This window comes from Homo sapiens, chromosome 6 (genome assembly GCF_000001405.40).
Source record: "Homo sapiens chromosome 6, GRCh38.p14 Primary Assembly".
Taxonomy (NCBI): domain Eukaryota; kingdom Metazoa; phylum Chordata; class Mammalia; order Primates; family Hominidae; genus Homo; species Homo sapiens.
Window position 1 is genome coordinate 68,632,075 of NC_000006.12, and position 14,382 is coordinate 68,646,456.

Sequence of the window (14,382 nt, forward strand, 5' to 3'; positions counted from 1 at the left end):
GTATGAGAATTCTGCAAATGATACTGAATTTTAAGCAATGATCCTGGATTATAGGGTTATTCTCAAAGTGGAGGGACTAAACTTAGCACATACAGACAAAAAGATGAAACAGAAATAAATCACACTTATAACCTCATCATTCCAAAGTAATCTTAATAAAATAATAGCAGGAGAGATAAATTTGAAAGGCTTTAATATTAGATACCTGGGTCAATTTAAAATGCCATACCAGACTATATTTTGATGTGCTAACACTGACCTCTCAATAGTTCTTCTGTAAATCATCAAGGAAACTTATGTAATAATCAATTTATACAATTAATGTGGTAGTTTTGGAATTAAATGCATTACCTTATAAAAGAGAAATACAAAGCAATGTAGTGAAACTTCCCAAGCAAATATATGTGTATCAACTGAAATACACATATACATATCATATACATATATATACACACACGTGTATGTGTACTTACAAATAATGCGTGCATACATATACATATGTATGTATAAAATATGTGTATATGTGTTTATATATGTAAACATAAATATAGACATAGACTTGTGAAAGAGACCAATGAAAGCAGATAATTATAATTTGAAATGGTGATTTTAATATGTATTCAGTCATAAAAGTGGACCAACATCAATAGAAAGGAAAGGACAGAGAGCTGAGGGTGTGTAAACTGCTGCTCTCTTTTTGCTGTTGGGTCAACATGTCAGCAATGCTTTCATATGGAGCAGCTTGCAGACATGAAACAAGGTGGTTCCTCCTTTCTTTGCCTTTGGATTGTGCTGTTGTTAGTGTCCAGAGACCAGACTGTCCATATAGGGTTCTTTTTGTGATTCTTTATTATAATCCCCTGAGGAAGTCAGACGAGCCTGGGGTTACTGGAGACAGTGTCTTGCTTGGCGTAGTTATCATCCACAAATCATCTGCTATAAATATATCTCAGAAGGATCATCATCAGGCCAGCTCAGTAGCCTGCAATTTATGAAGGTTATGAGAAACAATGTGAAGGGTGAAGCGCTTTATTAAGGGTGGCTTTCTTTTCTGACCCTGCCCTGACTTCTACTTGAATATAAATGATCCTGGGAGTAAGTGAACCTTTCCATTTAGGATTTAGGCTTTTAAATTGTCCCTTTCAGCTGTTATTCTTATGCCACTGTGTCATGACTTTAAGAATTTCTAAGAAACATCAAAATCAGTGTTACAAGATAATATGAGAAATCACTAGATGCAAAATAGAGGTATAACTGAACCTCACATTACATTCTTTCCTTTTTATGTATAAACCATCCAAAGCATTTTTTCCTCCGTTTTTATTCCACATCTGTCATGCTTTTTTTTCCTCTGGATAAAGTAACAGAACTGACCAAATTGCCTTGCGAAAATCATAATTACGATCTCTAGGGAAGTTGAAATAAATAAAATGTTTTTCTCCTTTGTGTTGCTCAATGTTCTTTGTTTTTAAAAGAAAATGTGTTGCTTAAACGGTGTTTCAAAATTTGTTCTGGACATAAACCCTAATTATTTCCTTTTAACATTTCCTTAAATGAATAAAAAATATTGTAAAGAACCAAAATGACACAAAACCAAAATGCCACCCAGGCTGCTCTCTTGCCGGTGATTTGTTACTGGGAAAATAGTTAAAGCCTGCTGGGGAATTATTAACTGTTTCCCCTTACAGTGTTTATCCCAGGCATTCGTTTAAGACGGGAAAGCCTTGAAGAGGGTCACTCTATTAATATGCATTAAGAAGTAAAGGACCAATTTTAATATTTCAAACAACTCCAGTGGATAACAGACCATAAACTTCCTGTTTTCACTATCAATCTCTTTTAAAATGGTGTTCTTGGCTATCCATAATCGCCCCAGGGGAGAGAAACAAGCGGAGGAAAAAAATGCAAGAGTGAGGGGAACAAATGATGGAAAATTGCTTTATTCAACTTCACCTGCCGCTCGAGAAACTCACCCTTACGAAGATTCCAGCACTTTATATGAATTACCCATTATGGTTTCCTCCCACCACATCACTGCACTATTTTAGCACTTGTTTTGCAAACCACCAACTGCGTTTACAAGTAGAAACATAATCAGGAGGCGAATGACCTTTTGTAGCATGTATCTGAAGCTGGTTTATCAGACACTTCGTCAGCCAACTGTCCAGGAGGCAAAATGACTATCTATGATGATAGATAGACAGACAGATAGATAGTTAGATTAAAAGGTGGGGAAACATCCCTTTTCCCTTTTTCCTTTCTATATAATCTGGTTTTTTCTCTTCACCCCTTTTCTCGCTTCTTCCCACCCCGTCCCCAAACCTGTTACTAGGGAAACTTGAAAAAGAATCAGATACATTAAGACTACAAAACGAAACAAAAGTTTAGACCCCGAAACCATGATTCCATTGCCAAGCACAAAGCAATGCAAGAGCCCAACGTCGGTCGCCGCACCGCGATCCTGACAAAGCCTGTATGGAGCCAGAACAAATAAGATGTTAATTGCAGCCTCGCAGAGAAAAAAATACTATTGTTCCAGCCAGAGACACTCAGCAGCTCGGTAGCTGGGATGTGCCCCCTCCGCTGCGGACTGGATCAATTCTGAATCCCGGTACTGAAATGACAGCTCTCTGGCTGCGACAGGTCTGCGCTGAAAGAAAGAGAAAGACGATCAAGTCCAGCATTCACTTCCCACCCTTCAGAGTCGCCTTCCCATCCTCCGCACCCCCCTGCCTCGCCTCCCAGTGAGTTTCTCTTACAGTTGGTCGCCGCCAGCCCCAGCGGTGGGAACTGAGGATGCAAAAACCTCCCAGACGCAGAAAATACCGCTTTCGGGACGTGCTTGGGTTTGAGTAGCCGTGACGTGCAGGCGAACCGCGGCCCTGGCTGGAGCTCCGTGGAGCCCCCCTCCCGCCAGCCTCTCCCCCGCCCTCCCGCCGGGACTCCCTCCTCTCCCACCCCGCGGCTCCCTTCGCCTTCTCTCTCACACACCCGCCCGCGCCCCCGGCAGGCAGAACTCCAGGAAGTCGCAGCGGCCGCGCCGCGCGAGCCGAGCCTCTGGCGGGCGGCGGGGCGCACCGCAGCTGTGCATAAGAAGGGCGCGCGGCACCCGGGACGCGCGCGCACACGAGCACGCGGGAGGCCGCCGCGCGGACGCGCTCCCGGGACACGCGCACCCCCCGCGCGCGCGCCCAAGGGAGAGCGAGCACTGCGCGCCGGCGCGCACACCCGAGACAGAGCTTTACTATCTCGCTCCCTCTCGCGCCTCCCTCCTCGCTGGGCATTCAAACAGCTTTCCGACATCACCAGCCAAGGATTTTTTTCCCCGCTCTCCTTAGTCGCCGTCCGTCCATCAGTACCTGCAGGGGGGAGGAGGAGGAGGGAGGAAAGCGGAAAGAGGAAAAAGCATAAGCTTGAGCCTTCCGATCCGACCACGAATACTCCTGTAATAAACCCACCGCCCCAACAAATCTGCCATAGCAGCCGCCGCCGCCGCCGGTCACTTCTCGTCTCAGCGCTTTCTTTGCTTCTTGGTTTGTTGGGGGTAGCTTTTATGAAACAAATCTTTGCTATTAAGCCACTTACATTTTGGGGGGTTCCTTAGAGTCTCCCTTGGGGGGGCTTCTCCCTCCCTTTAGCCCCCCTCGGTTTGGAGGTTGGATTCAGTTGGATACGGCGCAAGGTTCTGGGCTCCTGCTGGCTTTTTTTTCCTCTCTCTCATCGACCCCCCTTTGGTTCCCACCCCCCACCTTTTGCTTTTCGTATGTATGCATTTTTAAAAATAAATCCTGATTTTGGAAGCTGAGCCGGGGAAAATGGGCAACGGTGATTGGGACCGAAGGGGAGTCTCTCCGTCACTGTTGCTGGGACGCGTGCCTGTGCTGGTGTCTTAGAGCAAGAGCCTCCCTGAGCTTTCGGAGTGGAAGGTAAGGAAGGGGGTCCAGGGGTCACCTTTTCTCTGCCGGGGGTCGCCACCGTGGAGCTTTGGGCTTAATGTTTGAGAAGGGAGGAAAATGAAAGGAAAGGCTGTTGCTGGCGGATGGGGAGGCTGTGAGCAGATCCGACTGTCTGCATTTACTTAAACGCCGCAGTTGAAAAGTTAGAGAAGTCTGGTTTTCAAGAGATGTGCTGGGTCAGAAGGAATAAGCGGAGAGACCTAGAAAATCTGGCAGTTTTGTGTGATTGGGGTAATTTTATGAGGGGAAAATTTTAGGTTAAAAGGAAGTTAAGAGAAGGCAGTGGGTCTTCTATTGGGGGGAAAAATCTGTGGAGTGATGGCGCCGTCTATGTTCGACTAAACTAAAGTGTCACCCAGAAAATCAGTTTTGAGAATAGCTAAACTCAATGCTGGTTTGCTTCTCAGCAAGAGATAAATAAATAAATAAATAAATAAATAAATAAATAAAACATCCTTGACACCTCCGTGGCCAGCCTTTGCCCCCGCCCCCACCCCTTCTTTAAGAGGGAAACACGGCTTTTTGAACGGGCCCTGCAGTCCAAAGGGGGGTGAGGGTAATGATTTATTTTTTATTATTTAGAACAAAATAAGACTGTGTACTCCAGACTGATTAAAAATAAAGAGCATTATATTGAGTGCGCTCTCTTGAGCAGGCATTAAAGTGAATTCAGAGCTATTTCCTCACTCTCTGATCATTGATGAGCACGGCATTGCAGACATGCACTGTCAAATAAATGAAAGCAAAAGTACCAATTTCATTAGGAAAAGACATACGACCTCTTTTTGAGTTCCTGATTATAAAATGAAGTCCCCTTTCATGGATGGAATTCCTAATTTAGACACTTATTGTCACATTGGCTCTCAACGCCTACACTCTATCCTGAAGAACACTGCGCAGACCTGCATTGCCTGCAAAGTGCAACACCAAAAAAAAAAAAAAAAAAAGGAAATTATTTCCAGAATTTCTTACAACTTTCTCTGTTTTTTTTTAACCTTTAAATGCTCATTGGCTTTATTTTCTCATGAAGAAAATGCATTATTCATTGAGCTATTTGCTTGAAACAGAGAACACTGTTTTGATGGTCCCAGCAGTTCTGATGTTATTTTAAACTGCTGCTATATAGAGATTTAGAGTTGGGGCTGTGTTTGCCTATATCAAGACATAGAATTTGAATTATAATCTGGAAAATGCAGATCTATCTTCAGGGACTTCGGTCACTGGATTTGGTGTGCATGCGTTGGTGTGTGTTATGCAATGGGAAGGAAGAGGGTTTTATCCTTTGATTCAGAGAAGACCCAGGCAAAGGCATGAAAACTCTTAACTATCTATATGTCTGTATGTCTGTCTCTGTTTACAGAACAGTGGAAGAGACTGCAGCCTAAAGACTTTTAAAATTAACTTGGCATCACTTTTATCAGCTCAAAGGCTAAACAAACAAACAAAAGCAGTGTCATTTATTCTAAGAAATAACTTCTTAAAGGTTAAAGCTGAAAAATATTCAAGTTATTTTTGGATAACAACTTACAGAGGTAAATATAACCAAGGACTACTTTATTATCCAAAGCCAGGGTTAAAATTAAAAAAGAAAAGAAAAGAAAAGAGGAGCTTTGGAGTTGTTGTTGGAAAGGGAGCAATTTAATAATTGAAATCTGCTAGGAACAAAAATGTTAATGTATTTTATTACCATGTGTAAGCCTTAAATTACAGTTGATAAGATAATTTTTCAAAAATTAAAAGACTGAAACCAGCTCAATTACTATGGTTCTGGATTTTTTTTTTTTTTAACTGATATCACCTTTGGATACAGATACTAATACAGTGATCCACTTTATGTATCCCAAAAGGGCATGTCACATTGAAATGACTGCCCTAAATCCTGGTTCTCAATGGTGATGTTGAACAACAAGTCTTCCCTATGTATTTATCCATCTATGCCCTTTCTCAAATGATGGTTTTAAAATTAACTAATCCACATGAATGCCCATGTTTTTGCAAAGGAATTTCTGAGCAGTTCACATGGTGGCCCCTGCAAAGGCAAGTGGGGCATTTGGGAGATGATGTTCCATCTGTAATAAATTATTATTTGTGCTTTTAAAATTGTGGCCATAATTTATCATCATTACTTTTCACGTTTAAGAGGAGAGAAATAATGTGATGACAGCTGTTCCCAGATTATCAGATTAGATTTTGTATGATAGTGTTTACCGCAGAGGACAGAGAGAGAAAAGGTTGTATAGACTATAGACTGATTAATACTATTTCGACAATTAACATTTACATTATGACGTTTTAAAACTCCATGTTTTCCCTTTTCATTCGATAGAATGATAATGGACGTGGAGGATATCCTAGTAGATAAGTTAGGGCATTCCTATTAATAATCTATTAAATGTTATTTTTAAATTGAATGTTGCGAATTTGACCATTGTGAATGGCCACATGAGGGCGCTGTTCACACAGCAACAGATAATTTTCCTGTGTTATAAAATAAAAATTACCTGCCCTTCTTTTAAAAAGGGCTTTTTACTGAAATCTTGAAAACAGCTGGCTGTAATATTGAAAGGAGTTTATTTTCTCAATGCACGTAGACTCCTACTTGCATTTTACTTTCATTGCCATTTTTACAGGCCAAATGACATAGGATGAAGGCTGTTCGTAACCTGCTGATTTATATATTTTCCACCTATCTCCTGGTTATGTTTGGATTTAATGCTGCCCAAGACTTCTGGTGTTCAACTTTGGTGAAGGGAGTCATTTATGGATCGTATTCTGTAAGTGAAATGTTTCCTAAAAACTTTACAAACTGCACTTGGACGCTGGAAAATCCAGATCCAACCAAATATAGCATTTACCTGAAATTTTCCAAAAAGGACCTTAGCTGCTCTAACTTTTCACTCCTGGCTTATCAGTTTGATCATTTTTCCCATGAAAAAATAAAGGATCTTTTAAGAAAGAATCATTCTATAATGCAACTCTGCAATTCCAAGAATGCTTTCGTTTTTCTACAGTATGATAAAAATTTTATTCAAATACGTCGAGTATTTCCAACTAATTTCCCAGGATTACAGAAAAAAGGGGAAGAAGATCAGAAATCTTTTTTTGAGTTTTTGGTATTGAACAAGGTCAGCCCAAGCCAGTTTGGTTGCCATGTATTATGTACTTGGTTGGAGAGCTGCTTAAAATCAGAAAATGGGAGAACAGAATCATGTGGGATCATGTATACAAAATGCACCTGCCCTCAGCATTTGGGAGAGTGGGGGATCGACGACCAGTCGCTGATTTTGTTAAATAACGTGGTGTTACCCCTGAATGAGCAGACAGAGGGCTGCCTGACCCAGGAGCTGCAAACCACCCAAGTCTGCAATCTTACCAGGGAGGCCAAGCGACCACCCAAAGAAGGTAAGTGCCAAAGAGAGGGGAAGGTGAGCGGGGGAGCACTTTTGGGGGATGGAGTTAAAACGTGCTGTTTCAACACACAGGCCTAATTATTTATCCTTTATTGTCACTTTTTGATTCATTTGATTTGTGCTATTCACTGATAAAGGTCTCTTGAGCTAGTTTTAGGTTTCAAGGTTTTAGAGAGGGCGGTGAGGACTGGATAGCTCAGCAGCATGCGCTGGAAGTGAGGGTGGAATTTTCAGGAGAAAGATGCAGAAACCTAGAGCCAGCATGCACTAGAGATTGGTGAGGAGGGAGAGGGGTTTCTTTATTCAGGCTGCAGCCCCTCATGGTGACACACACACGCCCCACATGTGAAGTGGATTTATAGACATCTCCCTTCTGTTCCAGCCCAGCAAAACGTCCACTTTACTTCCTCTCTCCTATCCCCACGGAGTCCTTCCCTCTCACTCCCCACCCATTTCCAGGTCTGATCTTGGGGCATCTTGACTAAAAGGTAGTGCAAACTTAATAGTTTGCCTGTTTGGACCAAATGACTTCCTGACACATGAAGGCAGGTGTACCCCCCTTCTCCCCTGGTCTGGAATTTTATTTGAGGTGCTTGCGCAAAAATCTCGCACGCTTGCTCTTTCTTGGGTCAGAAGGAACTCACTAGAAGCGCAAACTCTCCAGGTCTTTTGGTTCTGGAGTCACCTGAGGACGGGGTGGAGGGGTGCAATGAAAACACATAGTGATCCTTTAAGACCCCATCCTCCTCTTGAGAGTGAATTTTTGCCTTTATCTTCTTAGTCCCCGGTTGACGTACACGAAGAGAGGGAATGTCTCAGAGCTAGCTGGGGGAAAGGAGGGGGAGGAAGTGCAACGGAAATGCGGAAGAAAAAGAAAGTACAGGAATGATTTATAGTTTTCACCCAATCCCCAGTGGGGGAGCTACCAGAGGATTTGAGATTGTGATTATGTTTAATAATGCAAGACAGCGTGACATATTTTGAGAAAATGACTTTTGTTGTTTGGAAGGTTAATGGATGTTGTGTTCCACTCCTTTAAGGACACTGCTGATACATATTAGTTCTTGCTTCCCAATCCTGAAACCAGAGAGTGTGTTGATTTCTTATGCAGGAAATGTTTTCTGATTGCCACAAAGATCCCAGTCTGTGGAAAGGGACAGCCAAACTCCAGTCGCCAAGCTCCAGTCCCTCTTTCCTTTTCCTCAACCAACAGAAGTTGTCTTTGTGGCCAATATAAAATTGACACGTTGTTGGAGAATTTTCTTTAAGTGTAGCCAAGGCTTTGTAAGGGGAAGTGGAGGGATGGAGAACCGAAATAGCCTAATGCTATTTCTCTGCTGGCTGCAATTTAAGGGATGGGAATTATGGAAGAGCAATGGTAGGAGAGGAAAAGACCTGTTAGAAAATGAATGCAGACTAATGGCAGTGAGAGAGGGGTGAAAACCTTAAAGATTTCTGCAGGTCAGTGTTTCACTATCAGCTGTGACTGAAGAAAACAAAGTGGTTTTAAATTACAGGAGTTATTTTCTGTAGTAAAAAATCCCAGAGAAGCATTTGCAACTGCAGGGATGGTATTTAACACCATTTAAAACTAATTAGTGTCCCCTAGAATAAGAAGCTACAGTACACACAAAAAATGTGATGTTACAAACTGGCTAATAAACCATTAACATAGGAAGCTGGTTTTTGTTTGTTTTACTGTTGTTTTAATACAGTTTAGAAAATCTGTTTCTTCAATGGTTAAATTGAGTACTGACGACAGTGGAGAGTGAATTCAGTGTCACAACTCTTTTATATGAAAGGTGGTAAGTGACAAAAACAAAGTTGTTGTGTGTGCATTAAGCATGATTTTCAAAGATTTTTTGATCATGATCCCGAGATGTGGGTTAAGATAATGCTGGGATTTACAGAAGCTACTAGATAGCCATTTGTTTTGTAAGTGAAGACAAATAAGAGTGATTTTAGACAGCAGATGTATAAATCATGGGAGACAAATTGTATATTGTCATTAATTCACTGGCAAAATGAAAAAGAAATACCTTCACTGACAAATATACTTACATTTAAAGTGCAGTATGATGTTAATAGAGTTGAACTAGAAAAAGTTTGTATCATAGGGGAACAACATATGCTATGTCAGTAAAAGCACATAGTCTCTATTCTGTACATTCTGAATTTGTGTTCTTTGTTTAGGTATTCTGAGTTCAGAAAGGTAAGGATAAGTAATTACTGATGACACATTTGTAGGTGATGTATTTGTTAAGTAATTCTTACAAAATACATGTACCACTCTTTACCCCAGTTAAATAATCTCTTTTTGGCTAGGCTACATTGTAGGAAAGGAATGTGAAAATCTATTGACCTTTGATTTAATCAAATTTAAGCAAAGTATATTCTATCTTCAATATTTGATATTATGATATATAAAATACTAATAAATAATTATTTAATACCATTTTAAATAAACTACCATATAATGACATAGAGCTTGAGGTTAATCATTACATATAGCTGTACTAATCATATCTCATTTTATTCCAGAGTGTTATTTTATATGATAACATGAAATTCCAGCTTTTAAAATTGGGTTTTAAAAATTCCACTTATATTTTATATTACTTGGTGTTTTCCATTTCCTATTAAAAAAGGTTGTCTCTTAAGTCAGCAGAGGAATAAATACAAGATTACTCTCCTTTGACTCCCATTTTATTCACTAATAAATACTGACTCAGAAGGCCTGCCTTGAGTAGAAATATCTTCAACATGTATTGTACCATAGAAGTGGCACAAATTTGAAGAGTCTTCACACTTAGTAGATGTGATTCCAGATTGTTTTGTGTAATACTGATGGTGATGGCAAAGATATATCAAATGTTGAATATTGTGAGTGTGTCCACTGGTATTATGACATAATATTTGGTATTTAGTATTGAAAAACAATAGACTCTCAGGAGTGGGATGCCTACTTTGAGATAGGATTTATGCTAGAACCTTCTTTAATAATATATTCATGTACTGAAAAATTTCATAGCCAGAAAAGAACGGCAAGAAAACTATTGCTGTTTTTAGTGACACCAACAATTACAGATGTTATCTTGAATATATCATACAAAGTAAATTATTTGACTAATGCTTCATTAAAGTATTACATTTGAGTACATTTTTAAAATTTCTTGTTTAAGATCATATTTGACATATTTGGGGGTATCATGTGATTATAGAAACTCAGTTATTTCCCTAATTTTTATATGAAATTGTGAAAGCCAACTAAGTTAACAAAATGAAGCCTTTTTTTTTTTTCCAAATAAAAATGTCTTATTTCAGGCAGCTTTTTAAAAACCTCTTAACATATAATGGCTATAACTTAAAAAAAAAAACTCAAATAACATTATGGTTTACCAGTTTTTAGGTACAAGTCAGGAGAAAGACTGGTATTTATTAACAAAGTCATCTTTAATTGTCCTGAGGTCTTTACTATAGTTTATAGGACTCTTTTGCTGAAGATAATTCTGGACTATATAGCTGAGATATAAAATGTGGAATAAAAATATCTTATTTCTTACCACTTCATTTATAATAAATGATTAAAACAGTTTTGGCAGAAAAATTCTACACCAGGATATCTAAATCACATAATAAGCCTTAATGGAATCTTTGTTTCTTACTGACATCAATGGTGCTACTTATGTGAAAGGAAATTGGGATCTCTGTATAGATTCCAGGAAATCTGAACACACACACTCATTTGTCTTTCTACTCTGCCTTTGCTAATCCTTGATATTCTACTCCCCAAAGGAAGTCTCACCATAGGCCTGTGTAGACTTTAGTTCATGCCTGCGTGTGTATGTGTTGTCATTTTTAGGGACATATTTGCAATCTAATGTGATTTGAGTCTATGTCAGTTTAATTGTCCCCATTTCTTTTTACCTTTGTTCTGTTTGCCCTCAGATAACTTTAGGAGTCATCATTCACCTTTCTCTTTACACTCTTCATCTTCCTTTTTTTTTTTTTTTTTTTTTTCGTATGTCACTGCCAGGATGCCATACTCTATCAGAATGCAGAACGATTTACTGAATCTGTTGTTCCTTGAAGAAACAGCCTGACAGTTTGCCCTGTCCCTGTGCTGGATCCCACAGACCTTTGCACATACTGTACTTCTTTTCTAGCATTCACCATATTGCAGCGTGATTTTACATCAATATTTTCATCTCGGCTGGTCGCAGTGTCTTGCACCTGTAATCCCAGCACTTTGGGAGGCCGAAGCGGGTGGACCATGAGGTCAGGACTTCAAGACCAGCCTGGCCAAGATGGTGAAACCACCTTCTCTACTAAAAATACAAAAATTAGCCAGGCATGGTGGTGGCAGCCTGTAATCCCAGCTACTTGGGAGGCCGAGGTAGAGAATTGCTTGAACCCTGGAGGCAGAGGTTACAGTGAGCCGAGATCGCACCACTGCACTCCAGCCTGGGTGACAGAGCAAGACTCTATCAGAAAAAAAAAAAAAAATTCCATCTAACTCTACCAGACTGAGTTCTTCAAGTAAAATAAAAACAATAAACAAACAAACAAACAACAAACAAAAAAAAAACCCTGAGGCTTTCAATTATCCAGCACACTCTGAACATGGTTTTAGTAAATATTGGTTGAAATGAATGTGAAATAAATGAAACAAAAAAACTCAATAGGAAAGACAGCAATAAATAGGTTACAGTAAAAAAAAACAGAAGTACATGACTTTGGGAAAGCATCTACCTTTTACTTACACCTTTATTAGGGGAAGATTGCTATTATTTTTATAATTTCCAATTTTATTAATGCATTATTGATGTCAGTTCCTGATCTCCAAGGTGTTATTTTAAAAGTTTTTAAAATAACAAGGACTTACTAACAAATATTCTTAATTATTTATATGTTTATTTTAAAATGTCAATGATAAATAGAACTTGCTATGTATGCCCATCTAGAAAAAAAATGGTAAGAAAATTAGCCATTTTCTATCTCTTTATTTGACTTCATTTCTCTCTCTGTTTCTCTTTTCTGGCCCTAGCATTACTTGTACAGTAATGACATTTTGCAAATCCTCTCCTCCACACTTTGAAGATAAACATAAGCTGTCTTTCCAAGAAATAGAAAAGACTATTTATACATCAGTTTCAGTGTTACTGTTATTCACTCTTGATTATGATCTATGTTAGTGATGGAATATTATTAAAATTATAGGCCCGGTCAAGTATAACAAAATGCCACAATTATTCCGTTTGCCATCTTAGAATTTCACCAATTAAGGAGTAGTTCATGTATGTAGCAATTAAAGAAAGAAAACTCCATTACATGGTAGCATATTTTTTGTAGACAATAGATTTAACATATTAAGAGGGGTGCGAACACTTAAGTGCATTTGTTTGTATGTATACAATGTATACACACATGTGCCAACATATGTGTTTCAGAGGATTTTTACAACAGCTGTAGATTAATGTACTTCAAGTTCATTTTCTATCAAAATCGAGATAGGAATTTTACTTCTCTTAAAATCCAGCTTTTTGCATGTTTTCTTTTACTTCCTTTCCTGACAGAAGCAATTTTATTGTTAAGCTGATTTTTTCCATATATCTAATTTATAAATCATAGTTTTTCTTTAGGCTCAGTCTGGTATGTATTACCTATAAAAGCAGTCCGGCCCTTGGAAAAGAAATCAGTGTTCATTTAAAAATAAGATTTTGTAATTTTTTTTTTCTAAATTGTATATATTGGGTTTTAAGATCATGAACCAAAGAGAGCTGAGTTTTAATTTGCTGTTCCTTATAATGGCTACTACTCTATATTATCACTTTCTTCTTTTCAGAGTAGGCTAGTAATGCTTATTTCTCAGGGTACAGGAGGATAGGAAATGACATCATGTATGAAAAAAATTAATAAAATTAATGACTTGGAATATTTCAGTTCCTGTCAGTGCCTGTGGAAATTTCTTCCCGATTCAATTAACTAATAAGAAATCAGAGATAATACTTTTTTCTAGGTGTGTCACTTCCTTGAAATGAGAAGCATGATTTGGTATAAGAAAAACTTTGGTCCCTAAAATGACTCAGCCACTTAGTAGCACCTTTGACAAGTGACTGAGCTTGACTAATTAATAAACTGAGAATAATACCTACTGCAATGGAGTGTCATACTAAATGAGATTGCTTGTATGCTCAAGTTATGTTAGGCCCTCGATAAATGTCAGTGCTCTTTTCTTTTTTCTTTTTTGAGACGGAGTTGCATTCTTGTTGCCTAAGCTGGAGTGCCATGGCGTGATCTAGGCTCACTGCAACCTCCGCTTCCAGAGTTCAAGCGATTCTCCTGCCTCAGACTCCTGAGTAGCTGGGATTACAGGTGTGCACCACCACACCTGGCTAATTTTTTGTATTTTTAGTAGAAACGGGGTTTCACCATGTTAGCCAGGCTGGTCTCAAACTCCTGACCTCAGGTGATCCACCTGCCTCGGCCTCCCAAGTGCTAGGATTACAGGCAGGAGCCACCGTGGCCAGCCCAGTGCCCTTTTCTTTTCCCTCAAACTCCCTTCTTCAGTTTCTGGTAGATCAAAACAATTTCTGATTAAAACTCACATTCTATTTCAGACATATCTATATTCTTATGCAATTTTCTCATAAAATATTAAAAATTGTTTATCATTTGTATAAAATAAAATTACCCAGACATGATGACCTGTGTCCAGGATGGAAAAAGTTAACATTGAAAATGATAGACTTCCAGCTGGGCGTAGTGGTTCATGCCTGTAATCCCAGCACTTTGGGAGGCCGAGGCGGGTGGATCACGTGAGGTCAGGAGTTTGGCACCAGCCTGGCCAACATGATGAAACCCTGTCTCTACTAAGAATACAAAAATTAGCCAGGCGTGGTGGGGCATGCCTGCAATCCCGACTTCTCAGGAGGCTGAGGCAGGAGAACAGCTTGAACCCAGGAGGAGGAGGTTGCAGTGAGCAGAGATCGGGCCACTGCACTCCAGCCTGGCCA

The 14,382-nt window shown here is 39.4% G+C and overlaps 2 protein-coding genes and 1 long non-coding RNA gene across 3 annotated transcripts in view, besides 1 other annotated feature; 2 read left to right on the forward strand and 1 right to left on the reverse strand.

The window, feature by feature from the left end:
* Positions 1 to 588: 588 nt before the first annotated feature.
* On the reverse strand, positions 589 to 2,250 carry ADGRB3-DT (ADGRB3 divergent transcript). The gene is made up of 2 exons (NR_125872.1): positions 2,111 to 2,250; positions 589 to 982 (listed from the first exon to the last, which is right to left on the reverse strand). It is a non-coding gene; the product is annotated as an ADGRB3 divergent transcript (long non-coding RNA).
* Positions 2,947 to 3,156: a silencer, noted in NCBI's record as "silent region_17313". NCBI's record gives its function as "represses an Ori minimal core promoter by ATAC-STARR-seq in GM12878 lymphoblastoid cells {active_cell/tissue: GM12878}" and the evidence as "EXISTENCE:reporter gene assay evidence [ECO:0000049][PMID:35858748]".
* The window catches only part of ADGRB3 (adhesion G protein-coupled receptor B3), a 754,225-nt gene continuing 743,050 nt past the window's right edge, over positions 3,208 to 14,382 (forward strand). Inside the window, exons 1-3 of the mRNA NM_001704.3 lie at positions 3,208 to 3,926; positions 5,317 to 5,488; positions 6,587 to 7,358. Of these exons, the coding sequence (NP_001695.2) occupies positions 6,602 to 7,358 (757 nt within the window). The 5' untranslated portion in view covers positions 3,208 to 3,926; positions 5,317 to 5,488; positions 6,587 to 6,601. The remainder of the gene's footprint in view (positions 3,927 to 5,316; positions 5,489 to 6,586; positions 7,359 to 14,382) is intronic.
* LOC127898563 (uncharacterized) lies at positions 3,816 to 3,893 on the forward strand. The gene has a single exon (NM_001414704.1). It carries the CDS (start codon positions 3,816 to 3,818, stop codon positions 3,891 to 3,893), a length of 78 nt encoding a protein of 25 aa, NP_001401633.1.

What these genes read in the sequence shown, in the direction of transcription:
- LOC127898563 (NM_001414704.1), top strand. Translation starts at nt 3,816, where the DNA reads ATGGGCAACGGTGATTGGGACCGAAGGGGAGTCTCTCCGTCACTGTTG.